Source organism: Homo sapiens, chromosome 3, assembly GCF_000001405.40.
Source record: "Homo sapiens chromosome 3, GRCh38.p14 Primary Assembly".
NCBI lineage: Eukaryota > Metazoa > Chordata > Mammalia > Primates > Hominidae > Homo > Homo sapiens.
Window position 1 is genome coordinate 151930200 of NC_000003.12, and position 13488 is coordinate 151943687.

At 35.9% G+C, this 13488-nt stretch overlaps 1 long non-coding RNA gene across 1 annotated transcript in view; it reads right to left on the reverse strand.

The window, feature by feature from the left end:
• Window positions 1-352: 352 nt before the first annotated feature.
• LOC107986047 (uncharacterized) overlaps window positions 353-13488 on the reverse strand; it is a 38948-nt gene continuing 25812 nt past the window's right edge. Inside the window, exons 2-3 of the long non-coding RNA XR_001740567.1 lie at window positions 2126-2247; window positions 353-477 (exon numbers count right to left, since the gene is read on the reverse strand). This is a non-coding gene — a long non-coding RNA (uncharacterized LOC107986047). The remainder of the gene's footprint in view (window positions 478-2125; window positions 2248-13488) is intronic.

A 13488-nucleotide genomic window follows, 5' to 3' on the forward strand; every position in this document is an offset into this window, starting at 1 on the left:
GTGCAAACAGACAAGAAAGAAAACCAAGGTATTTTTTAAAAATTGTATCATTTGTGCTCTGATCCAGAAAGGGAAATGGGTTTTTTTGTTTGTTTGTTTGTTTGTTTGTTTTGGAAATGGAGTCTCGCAATTCTCCTGCTTCAGCCTCCCGAGTAGCTGGCACTATCAGTGCACGCCGCCACGCCTGGCTAATTTTTTCTTTTTTAGTAGAAATGGAGTTTCACCGTGTTGCCCAGGCTGGTCTCAAACTCCTGAACTCAGTCAATCTGCCCACCTCGGCCTCCCAAAGTGCTAGGATTACAGGCGTGAGCCACCGCACCTGGCCAAGGGAAAGATTTTAAAATTCATCTCAAGGGGTAAAATATTTGTCACCAACTAGAAAGCAGAATATCATATCAGAAAAAATCACTCTCACCTTTGTCCATATGCTGGAAGGCAACTGGAGTAGCCATCTGGATTCATTCATAAAAATTTGCTCTGTTAAAGCAAAGTGGATACAAGAGCACTTGGTAAGCCAGGACTGTATTGTTTCTGCATCATTAAGGTTACTCCTGTTGTCATTTTCATTGAAATCATAGGCATCATCTGGCAGGCTTTTTTGTTTTTTTGTTTTTTTTTTAATTAAGGGCTAGGGTTTTGTTGTGTCAACCAGGCTGGAGTGCAGTGGCATGGCCATAGCTCACTGCAGCCTCAAACTCCTGAAACAATTCTCCTGCTTCAGCCTCCCCAGTAGCTAGCACTACAGGCGTGCACCACCACACCTGGAAATATTTTTTCATTTAATATTTTATAGATACAAGGTCATGCTGTGTTGCCTAGGCTGATCTCAAACTCCTGGCCTCAAGTGATCCTCTCACCTTCGCCCAAAGTGCTGGGATTACAGGTGTGAGCCACCATGCCTGGTCTGGCACTGGCAGGCTTTGGTTTCTAATGCCTAACTTGCCAGCTACTTCCTCTAATCTAATTTTTTACAAACCCAAGAAGCTCTGAAGATGAGACAAAATAATTTTTTGAAAAATTTTCTTTATAAACACACACATACATATATCAAAAACAGAGAGCCTGGTCATGACATAACATTGTATTGAAGGGGTTCTTTTTATTTTTCTCAGATCTTAGGTTTATTCATCTTTTATTTTTCACCATAGAAATCCTATGACTCATAAAAACACAGGGCCAGGAGTCCTGTGACTCTATATTTTCATAGAGAGAACATGATTTGGAAGACCAGACTTAATAATTTTACTCTGTCTCAAATTTTGAATAGTGTTTGCTTTAAAAGGCATCTTATCACCGAAAGCAAAGTGAGAAAAATGAAGTCAACATTCACTGACAATTCTTGCCACTCAACCCTTTAAAAAGATAACCAACTACATAGTTACTGAGGGGTCCTTCATTATTAGGGAGTAAGGGGAATAACTTTCACATCTCTATAGTATTTATGGATCTGACATCTGGATAATAAGGTGTTTTGTAAGTAAATCTTTCGATAACATTGTTTTAATTTTCTGAGAAAAACTCAACCTTATTATCAAAACGTATTTCACCTGACTATATTTTCCCCAAATATAAAATTTACCAATAGGAGCAATCAGTCAGTACATACTAGGTCTTACTCATTAGTATATTAATACCAATTTCACAACACTGCATAAACAAATCAGCTTCATAGAATAAAATTCTAAAATATTCTGATGTAAATTAGTAAATGTATGCAGGGAATTATTTATTTACATATTAACATTAAAACATTTGAAAAGATTACACATCAACTTGAAGTACAAACACTCTGCAGATCATCTTACATTTTCTCTTGTGCCTTCTCAGGCTAAATGTTCTTAATGAAAAATGACAAGAAAAAGGTGTGAATAGTCAGCAGTGTTAATGCTAATTTTTGAGGTAAAGGAGACAACTAGCTTCAAATAATATTTGAGTGAAAATGACTATTTCCTCAATCATTAGTCATAGGGAAAGGAGAATGAGAACACTAAAAAAAATTATTTAAATAGCACTTTATATTCAAATATTTTAATTAAAAATTCATTAAATATTTTAAACTAAAGAAGTAAAGCATTTGGAACCTAAGCTCCAGGCAACTAAAATTTGGTCAAAGTATTTCATGTACCTGTCAAATTGCAGATAAAAGTTGTAGTTTCTTTTTCTTTTTCTTTTTTTGTATTCATCTTTGGCATTTAAAGTAGATTAGCTAGTTGTTGGGTGTGGACATCTGTGTCTTGAGCTTTTCTCCTGGAAATCAATATTTATTTAATAAACCTTTTTTCTTTAAAGGCAAATTATCATCTGTTTTTTCAGGGTGGTCCCGGTACTTTCCAGTTATAAAATAAAATCGGCTGAGATTCAAGAAGTTCATTTGGCTTGAGGTTAAAAAGTAAATTTTGGCCCTTTTGAATTGAAACTTGGTTAGTCAGAACCTCTAATCATTTCCCTCTAAAAAACCTAGGGTTATTTTATTTTAGAAGGAGACGACTATTGAATCCATGAGTCACTCTAAGGCAAGTCTTAATATTAATCTTTAATTCTTTATATTAAATCTCAAAGGGCCGGGCACGGTGGCTAACGCCTATAATTTCAGCACTTTGGGAGGCCAAGGCGGGTGGATCACTTAAGATCAGGAGTTCAAGACCAGCCTGGCCAATATGGTGAAACCCCGTCTCTACTAAAAATACAAACATTAGCCAGGCATGGTGGCACGTACCTGTAATCCCTGCTATAGGGAGGCTGAGGCAGGATAACCGCTTGAACCTGTGAGGCAGAGGTTGCAGTGAGCCAAGATTGCGCCACTGCACTCCAGCCTGGGTGACAGAGCAAAATTTAAAAAAAAAAGAAAAAAAAAAACTCAAAGGGATATTCTGTTCTGTTCTGGGATCCCCAGTCTCCACTCTACACATAATATTGCACATTTCAAACCAAGATTAAGAAGGTGAACGAACTCAGCACTGGCAGAAAAAATCCCTTGACTTTTGCAAAGTCAAGCCAATTCATTCTGAGCCCATATGAAGAATATGTTATTGTTCTGATACCTTAAGCCAGGTTTTTTTCCATTATTTTTAAAGTACCCCTTTAATTAATTAGAAAAGCATAAAATTAAATTTTAAAGCATTTTGTTTTACGCAATCAATTCATCTTTAGAAATGCATAAGAGAACGTAAGGATTGTCATCCTTCATTTTACAGAGGAAAGTGATAATAATCATTTGCTGAGTCATCAACACTACAAAATAAAGCCCTGGAGAAAAGGTTAGCATTTAGACAGTCTTTGCATCTGGGGTAAGTTTAGAAAACTAAAAAAGCTGCATTAAAACAAAAAGAAAGAAAAAAATTTTAAAAAACTAAAAACAGACCAGATGTTGACTGCTGAATGTCAATGGCAACAAGAGAAAAACAACACATGTGGATTTAATGTTCTTTCTGCAGATAGAATCTCAGAAAAACATATTCTCTAAGAGATCAGACCAATTTTGTTTGAATGTAAACCACTGCCTAACACACCCTACCACATTCCTATGCCTGGAGAAACAGGAAAGATGAAGATGAATAGGCCTAACATGAGCCCAAACTTCAAGAAGAGTCAGAAAATTGCCAGTGAATGAAATAAGTAAGAGCTCACACTTCATGGATATAACTCACCACTGCCATCACACCACATTTTCATCTGCCTGTAGAAAAATCAACTAGGTATTGCATGATCTAGATATCAGTTATTGGGATAGTCATGAAAAGTATTAGTCTTGCTTTCATGTAATTTGCAGAGAATCACACAGTTGGAACATTAAAAATGGGTTCAGGCCTGGCACAGTGGCTCACGCCTGTAATCCCAACACTTTGGGAGGCTGAGCCAGGTGGATCACAAGGTCAGGAGATCAAGACCATCCTGGCTAACATGGTGAAACTAAATCTCTACTAAAAAAAATACAAAAAATTAACCATGCGTGGTGGCAAGTGCTTGTAGTCCCAGCTACTCGGGAGGCTGAGGCAGGAGAATTGCTTGAACCTGGGAGGTGGAGGTTGCAGTGAGCCGAGATCATGCCACTGCACTCCAGCCTGGGTGACAGAGTAAGACTCCATGTTAAAAAAAAAAATTGTGTTCACTATTAGCTATGTTTATTTTCAGTCTCTGAGTCTCTGCAAACCTGTTCCCTCTTACGTGACCCCTGCCTTAAATAGGGTCATCCACAACCAACCAAATTCTAAAACCCTTTCAGAAGGTACAAAAGGAAAAGCCCAGAATAGATTTCTGAAGCTGAGACTCTTCATTATATATATTATTTCTGCCTCATAACTCTATGATGCTGAATTGAAATTCTCTGGCCCTTTTTCTCAACCATATTCCAATAACTGATAAGTTGAGTCACAGGGTAATGATACAATAAACAAGATTGGAAACACAGAGTTCCTTCCTAGGAAGATTTCACAGTCTAATGCATGAAGACAGGAAGGTAATTCACTATGATAATACAGTATGGGGGAGTGCTGAGAAACAGGAATGCACAAGAAACTGAAAGCAGAGAGATGTGCACTTAACCCAGACTTGAGGGGGTACGATGGGGGTCACAGAAGTCTTCCTTAAAGATGTGACCATTTTGCTAAATCTTGAAGAACTAGTGCAAGTAAGCCATGTAAAGAAATAAAGGAAAAGGCATTCTGGGCAGAAGGAATGGCCCAAGCAAGAGCTTGTAGGCCCAAGAAAGCCTGAGAAGTTCCAGGACCTACAAGTTGTTGCAAGAGAAGAGGAACTTTGTTTTGTTCACGAATGTGTCTCTAGTGCCTCAAAAAGTGCTGGGCACAAAATAGGTTCAAGGCCTTGAATGCTTGGATAAATGAACCCAACCATTAATTAACACTGTTGGCTTTTGAATGGAGAGGCAATGTTAGAGGGGCAGAGGCAGATGGAAGGAGATTATTCAGGAGGCTTTGGCTCTAGTGCAATGTGATGGAGGACTAGACAAAAACAGTGGAGGCAGACATGGGGTGAAGCGGGAGAAGTGGAGGTGTATTTTGGAAGTATAGCAGAAAAGACCTTGTATTTAGGAGAATGAAAGGATTGAGGACTACTCCATGGCTGAAGGCATCCAGGGAGTTGTGTTTTATTCAAATCTAACAGTGGGAGTGACGATGGAGATAAATCAAAATAAGCAATAGTTATGGAGCATTAGCATTTAAGTGTAAATTGTTTAACTGATGTCAGTATTTCTTCTAATCTTACTATAATTTTGTGTCATAAGACAAGTATGTCAATATTTTGCTTAACTCTTTTAGCGAGTTTTAAAAAATTAGCGACAATAATTGTATTTCTTAGTGGCTTAGCAGAGGGTTTTTACTTTCTCCTTTTTATATGTTTGAATTGTCTGAACTTTTCACAAAGATCGTGTAATTTCAAGTTGGTCACATTCACCACACTTTATGCAATATATACATCTCTGAAACTCTTGCATAATAAATACTTGCAAAATCCAAGACTTACTTCGTTAGAGCAGAGCCAGTATTTCTGTCTGACACTTATAGTGGTGCCACTGTGGGCAACAGTACAAACACAATTATAATTCACTATCATTTTCAAATTAACATTATTTTAAAATTTATAAATAGACTTTTAAGTTATTTTGTAGTAACAAAAATTTATGCAAGTCAAATACACATAAAAGGCAACTACACTGCACTTTTACAGGAAAAAATGTATTTGCTTTTTGTACAGTTATATGTTTGAATAGAATATACCCTCATATCTTTGATTTATAATTTTTATTTGCACAGTTTAGACTCTATTCAGGCAAGGATGCCCTATCCAGGCATGGTAAGCCACCTATTGACTGATAACAAGTTGTAGGTGAATCACATAAGAGAAGAATAAAGCCCAAGATCTCCTTGACAAATCAAAATTCAAAGGGAGGGTAAATATGTACAACTATTATGTATTCATAATAATTAAAAATAAAATATTTTAAAAAGGGAGAGTGTTATATATATCTATCTAAATTTCTATATATTAAGTAAAAAAAGTATGACTACTTTTGTATAATCTTTAAACAATACACAGAATTTAAATGTTCTTATTATCTCTGTAGTTTCTATCTCATCCAGTCTCTGAGAAACCGAAAAAATGGAGAGTCTTTAACTGAAAGATGCTAGAGTCACCTCAGTGGCCATTTGAAGACCCACTGTATCTTCTGTGCCTTGAAAAGAAACCCTGGGTGATCTGTTCTTTGTCCACCTTAGTTGTATATGGGGTGAGGGGGGTGAGAGATGGTTTGAACATTTTCATTTAGCTGAATTGGATATAACTGAAGAAATAAAAAAAGAATAGATGCTGAATGAAACAAGAGGAACAGACATCCAGAAGTGAGGCACCTTGTGACTGACCGCTACCTGACCTGACACATCACACGCCATACACACAATAACTGGTTTCCACTTCTACTTCCTCCTTTAATAGAACATAGAAGTCTTTTTTTCTTATCCTGGTTCACAATCATCAAAATATTTTTTGGCTCTTTTCACTGGTAAAAAGTATCTATAATCTCTCCGATAAACTAAAAGCACTTTCTTCTTCAAACAGAATGTTACTGATGTGGGGAACATCTTGAGAAAATGCTCTACTTTCTAAAGTAGCCTTGTGACTGGTCTCAAGACAGAAACACTTAAATAGAATCCTATGAAGAGCCACCATCCTCCACACACATATCTTTTCATGAAATGTGGGAAGTGGGAGGCAGGAGAGGGCTTCAGAAACATTTTTGTGAGATGGTTTATGGAATGGAGTTTAGGTACACATAAACCTAGACAGACATACAAATATATACTTGTTTACCCAGGTTGAAATTCTGAACCTTCTGAAGTCTGTCATTCATGAGAAGGTACTTAATTATTCATAGACTGGTTACAAAATTTGTACTTATTTTCCAGGAAATGTAAGTAGAAAAAGACATGGTTCTGGTGTTAAATAAAACCCTATCTGTGCAGAAGACATTTGATTCATTGTTCAAAACACATTCATGCCTACAAAAATATGACTCCTGTTTAGGTGCCAAAGCTGGTCAGAGGCTGGCTTACATGCTGCATAAGTGTTTTTTGCTTCCACCCTGCTTGGATGTAGTCTGATAAATAATACTGCATGTCCATGGGCTTTAACTATATTATTAATCATCATTTAGAAAATGTACATATTTGTGTACATTTATTTCCATAAGCAATTTCATTTTTCCCATTCATCTTCCTACATTTATTAAAACACTAAAATTTTAATATGATATGAAAAATGTACATTAAAAATATTAGATTGGGGCTCCTTGGTGCTTTCCCTCTGCTTACAATTAGTGCTTTAAAAAGAATAAATACTCATAATTACACATTTCTGGCTTTTCTGAAATGCTTGTCATTATTTTCATGCCACAATGTGATTTATAGCTTAAGTGAATAAGGTCCATTAAAGAGTTGAGACTGATCAAAAGCGGGAGATTTGAGTATCCAGAGGTTGTTTTCAACTTCACAAATGCCATACATTTGTTCTTTAAACCCTAACTCCCTAATTTTCTTGCTATAGCGTACAAAAAGAATAGAAACATTCAATAATTGGCCTCTTAATTATATAAAAATAGTCCTTCTCCAAAGAAGCATAACAAGAATTTTAACATAAACTTTCTCGTAATCCCTCAACTTCTCTACTAATGTATTACCAAAAATAAAATTTCAGGGCAGCCTTTCTGACTACATTGTTTAAACCAATTCAACATAGCATATGGTCTCCACACACAAAAGTATAGGAAATACAAGTTGTTAATAAGATGTTGTGTTATATGACAGGTTGCCAATGCTCATGCAATACCCACTGGATAACAGCTATCTAACTTTAAGATATTAGATTTGTTTTAAATCAAAAGAAACTTAGCCTAAAGTCATTTATGCTGACCTAGATGCAGCCACAGAAAATCAGCAAGTGAGAGATAGAGGAATGTTTGGTACAAATAAGGATAATTACCTGCAAATTAAGAGGTAATCAGTTTTCAACACGAAGAGCCAAAGGACTACTCTTGTATTACTATCTCCACCATTCTCTCCCAGAATCCTAACTCCGAAACTGCAGACCAAAAGTCTATGGGAAATTGGTAATTTAATGAGACAATAAACATTTAAGAACTATAATGACAGTAGTCTGCCTCTTTGAAGGAAGATGTAAAAGGATATTTTCTGTGACTGCTGAGATAATAATCATGTTTGAAGTCTATTGACTTCAAGGGATTTCTGGTAGGTGCTTAGCTAGCACCTACCACCAGAATTCCCAAGTATACCAGGAGGGGCTTAAATATAAAGTATTTGATTGTTTTCTCATGTTAAGTCTACAATATCAAGAAATAAAGAGTGTTGTTTTGAAGAAATCAAGCAACTGAAAGCATTTCAGGTGTTTCATAAGTCATCAGAATTCATCTGTGTGATAGGCACAGTTCAGTTTTACTCTTCTAATCAAGATGTTGTTGATTTTCAAGAAGCTAATATAAAATACAGCATAATTTCATGCAATTTTTAAGGTGCATGCCTCTATCTTAAATATCCAGATAAATGGTATATCGGATACACTTTTGGCTGCAATTAAGGAAAGCTCTAACAATGGGGTTAAATTATAAGGAAATTTCTATTTTGCTTAACAATAAGTCTAAAAATGTGTTCAGTATCACAATAGTATAATCAAAGTCTTTGATTACCATAACCTTTGGACTTGATCACTTTGATGTGTTACCTTTTCACTTCCATGCTCATTGCTTCATGGTCCCAAAAGGGCTGCTGAAGTTCCAGGAATCATATCCAGCAGCAAGGCAGGAAGATGAGGTAAAGAATGTCATTAAGCTTCTCTCCTCTTACGCTACTATCTTTAGTAAAAAAAGCAAAGGTTTTTCCAGAAATCCCCAGAAACTCCCTCTTAAATTTAACTGGTCAAGACTGTATCACATGGTCACTTTTAGTAGTAACATGATTGAAAATAATATATTTGGCCCTTTCAGCTTTTATAGAGGAAAGTGGAAAGGGGCAAAGGTGTTGTTAATGGCTTTTATGTCAGCCAATCGCCAAGGTCTGCTAAATTAGAATAAGGTAAATGCCAATAGCCTGATAATAGGGTTTCGCTAATTGAAATAAGAAATAAGGAGCTCCAGTTGCACAATCGGTTAGCAAGTTGTACTTATATAAAATAAGGAATAAACAAATCTTTTCTATACAGGATGGAGGAGTTAGAAAAAGAAGCTATTAGCTTTCCTGTAGCTCCTTTGATCCCTTTTATGTCCTGTTACCACTGGGTTTGAACCAGTCTCCCTCAAATTGGTATTTTATTTTATATTTTTTGAGACAGTCTCACTCTGTCGTCCAGGCTGGAGTGCAGTGCACGATCCCGGCTCACTGCAACCTCTGCCTCCTGGGTTTCAAGCGATTCTTCTGCCTCAGCCTCCCGAGTGGCTGGGATTACAGGTGTGTGCCACCATGCCTGGCTAACTTTTTTATTTTTAGTAGAGACGGGGTTTCACCACGTTGGCCAGGCTAGTCTCAAACCCCTGACCTCAAGTGATCAGCAGCCTCCATTTCCCAAAGTGCTGGGATTACAGGAGCGAGCCACCATGCCCAGCCTAATTAGTATTTTAATAATAGATTATACCTCAAAATAATTATTTTATACAAAACAGTAATGTGAATGAGCAAAATACAAATATATAAAACAGCATAAATGAATCTCATATTCTTGAGTAGGAAAGAAAGACACAAACAAGTACATGTTATGATTTTATTTACATAAAGTTCAAAGGCAGGAAAAATTAATGTGGTAATAAAAGTCAGACAGCAGCTTTTTTTGTGGAGACAGAGTGTGACTGGAAGAGGATATGAGGGAGACTTCTAAGATACAGTATTATTCTGTCTCTGGATATGGGTCCTGGGTTTTTTTTGTTTTGTTAAGATCTGTTAAGCTATACATCAATGGTCTTTGCATATGTATATGTGCATATACAATATTTCAATATAATTAAAACAAACAAAAATGTAATAAGAGAATCACTTGCTTTGATTTATTATGGCTGAGTACCACTAAAATAATAAGATTTGGAAATTTTAATATTTAGGTATTTGGGGACCTATCTCCATATATTGCCTGTATAAGATGAAAGCTAGTTATCTCTCAAATCTGATGGATTGATTTCATCTCAATTGGTTGTTCAAGGTGAATTATTTGGATGAAATAAAAATAAATCAATAAATACACACACATACGTTCACATGTATATGGATGTCTGTTTAGGAATTGTTAAAGTTCTGCTCTAAATATTTTTCGTTCCCACAGAATATTCACAGAAAACTTGATCCAGTTGAGGTTGCAAGTTTTAAACTTTAGCTCCAAGAGGCCCGCAAACATACTTTCTTGTATAAATTTCTGTGCATAGTAGTAGTATCTTCTACAGAAGGAATGGTGTTTTCTGCCAAGTTGAATTAAGTGCACAGAGCATGACTTTTCAGGGAACACTGTAACTATTGTATTACATGGTGAAAACACTGCTACTTATATTTTCACTGCAAAAATACAGTAGTCTTCAAATATATTCATGACTTACATAGAAAAGGGCTAGAATTCAGTAGCCCTAGCCAGTGTCAAAGTTCATTTTATACCATTTTATGAAAAATAGTAATTAATTTAAATCTCCAGATAAATGTGCCTATTTATATGTAGACATGACCTAGCAAGGAAAACTATATAACACAAGATGTATGATAGCAAGGAAGCAAGTCTTCTAAAAACTGGGTCTGATTCTGTAATCCACACAGAATCTTGTATGAATTAACTATCCAGGAAGGAAAACTAAGAGCTACATTCTAGTTTTCAAAGATAGAAAAAAGTCTTAGGAATCATGGGGAAGAAGAAACTGCTGAGATGTGAAATACAGTGGGTTAAAGAGTATTCTGTAAAAGACAATGTGGTAGAAGATAAATAAGCAGATTTATAATTTGTTCCTATGAACCTTCTCTACTTGCAACTTGCTAAAAGTCATGTTTTAATTAACTGGACAGGGATCCCTTTCTTCTCAGCATAGCTCCAAATATGTCCTTGGCATATTTAAAACTGCATAAAATAAGCAATAATGCCCTGACAATTCTGGCTTCAAAAACTGGCCATTTTATCCCTGAGTAGTTTTCCTGAAATGAAGGGCCAGCACTCTCAAGGCAGGCTTTTGACTCCTGTACCAAACTATAATTCACTTCTAACCTATAAACCCAGATAGAGAGTAGTGGAATGAAGGAGAGCTTTCTAATATCATATAAATCTATAAAATAGAGAGTCTTTGGTAGGAGCAAATACACATCATAAAATTATGTCCTCTACCTTTAGCAGCTGGGAAACATTACACACTACCACAATTCAATGGTGCCCTTTTAATTGCACATGCTTAAACAAAATACCGCATTATAATTACATTTGGCATTTCAAAGAGTCAAGAGTTCAAAACTGGAATGTGTTAGAATGAGAAAAATTATAACCAAATATCCCACATCAGGATGCAGCTTTTTGGACAAGCACAGTAATTCAGTTTCGGTATTTCATAAAAAGTGGTTTATTTCACTTTGCAATTTTCCATTTATTAGAAAATATCATTCATACAAAACAATATATAAATGCATATATTGACTTAAATAATTTTAGTAAATGATGCACCTATGTGTCCACTGCTGAGGTTAAGAAATAGAGACTGGCCAGTTTTTTCCAAATCCTCTATACATCTTCCCAATTATATCACCTTCCCATCCTACAAACAGAGGTTTTCGTCATTTTGACTTTTATAATAATCATCCCACGTTCTTTCGGCTTTAAATGATTTTACCACTTATGGATATATTTCTCCTATTTTTGAACCTTATGAATATGAATTCCTACACTATAATGTCTATGTCTTACTTATTTCATTCAATATGAGGTTTGGGTAGATTCACTGGGCAAAGCTCACATGTAACTGTCTCTCATTCAGTTTCCCTGCTGAACAGTGTTCCACCTTAAAACCAGTCTACAATGTATTTTCCATTCTACCATTGTCGGACATTTTGGTTATTTCCTGTAATATGTTATTAATTTTTATACATTTATTCCAGGAGTGAAATCCTTAGATCATATATTATGAGCATATTCAAACTTCCTATGAAATGTTGATCTATTTTTTAAATGTTTGGGCCAATTTATACATCATACCACCAATATTCATAAGTTCCTGTTGCTCCACATATATGCCAACATGACAGTGTCAGATTTAGTTTTTCACCTAAAGATTGGGTAAGACATGGTAACTCTTGTGGTTCTAACTTGCTTTTTTATTGCTAGTGAAGTTAGGCATCTTCTCATATTCCATAGTTTGAATGTAAGTGAGTAGAGTACAATGAGATATTTTGAGAGAGAGAAAGAGACCACATTCACCTAACTTGTATTACAGCATAACATTTAATTATTCTATTTTATTATTAGTTATTGTTGTGAATATATTACCCTGCCTACTTTGTAAATTAAACTTTATCATAGGTATGTATTTATGGGAGGGAAACATAGTGTGTACACACACACACACACACACACACACACACGGTTTAGTAGCATCCTCAGTTTCAGTCGTCCACTAGGGATCTTGGAACATATCCCCTGAGGATAAGGGGGAGACCACTGTATTGAGAATTTTGTGTTTCTTTTGAATTGTTAAACATGTTAGTCTTTGTCTTGCTTTTTTGTTCTGGATACTTCTTTTTTAGGAACTTTTAAGTATAAAATCAGCTTCTTTAATAGACAGAGGACTAGTTGAGTTGCCTATTTATCTTGAAATTCTCTGTTATTATTCTTTTGATATCTTTGGATTTTGTAACGAAATCCTCTCTCTCTTTCCTAGTATTGGTAATTTACATCCTCTATTTTTTTCTTTGTTAATCATTGTAGATATTTATTAAGTTTATTGGTCTTGCTTTTTTTTTTTTTAAAGCACAATTTAAAAAATTTGTTCATTGGCCAGGCGCGGTGGCTCACGCCTGTAATCCCAGCACTTTGGGAGGCGGAGGTGGACAGATCACGAGGTCAGGAGATCGAGACCATCCTGGCTAACACGGTGAAACCCCGTCTCTACTAAAAATACAAAAAATTAGCCAGGCGTGGTGGCGCCGCCTGTAGTCCCAGCTACTCAGGAAGCTGAGGCAGGAGAATGGCGTGAACCCTGGAGGCGGAGCTTGCAGTGAGTTGAGGCCTGGCCACTGCTCTCCAGCCTGGGGGACAGAGAGAGACTCCGTCTCAAAAAAAAAAAAAAAAAAAAAAGAAAAGAAAAGAAAAAGAAAAATTTGTTTATTGTTTTCTGTTTTCAATTTTAACAATTTCTGTTCTTATATGTATTACAAGATGCATTGCTTAACGACAGGGATATGCTCTGAGAAATGCATTGTTAGGCAATTTTGTTGTACAAACATCAGAGTGTATTTACAC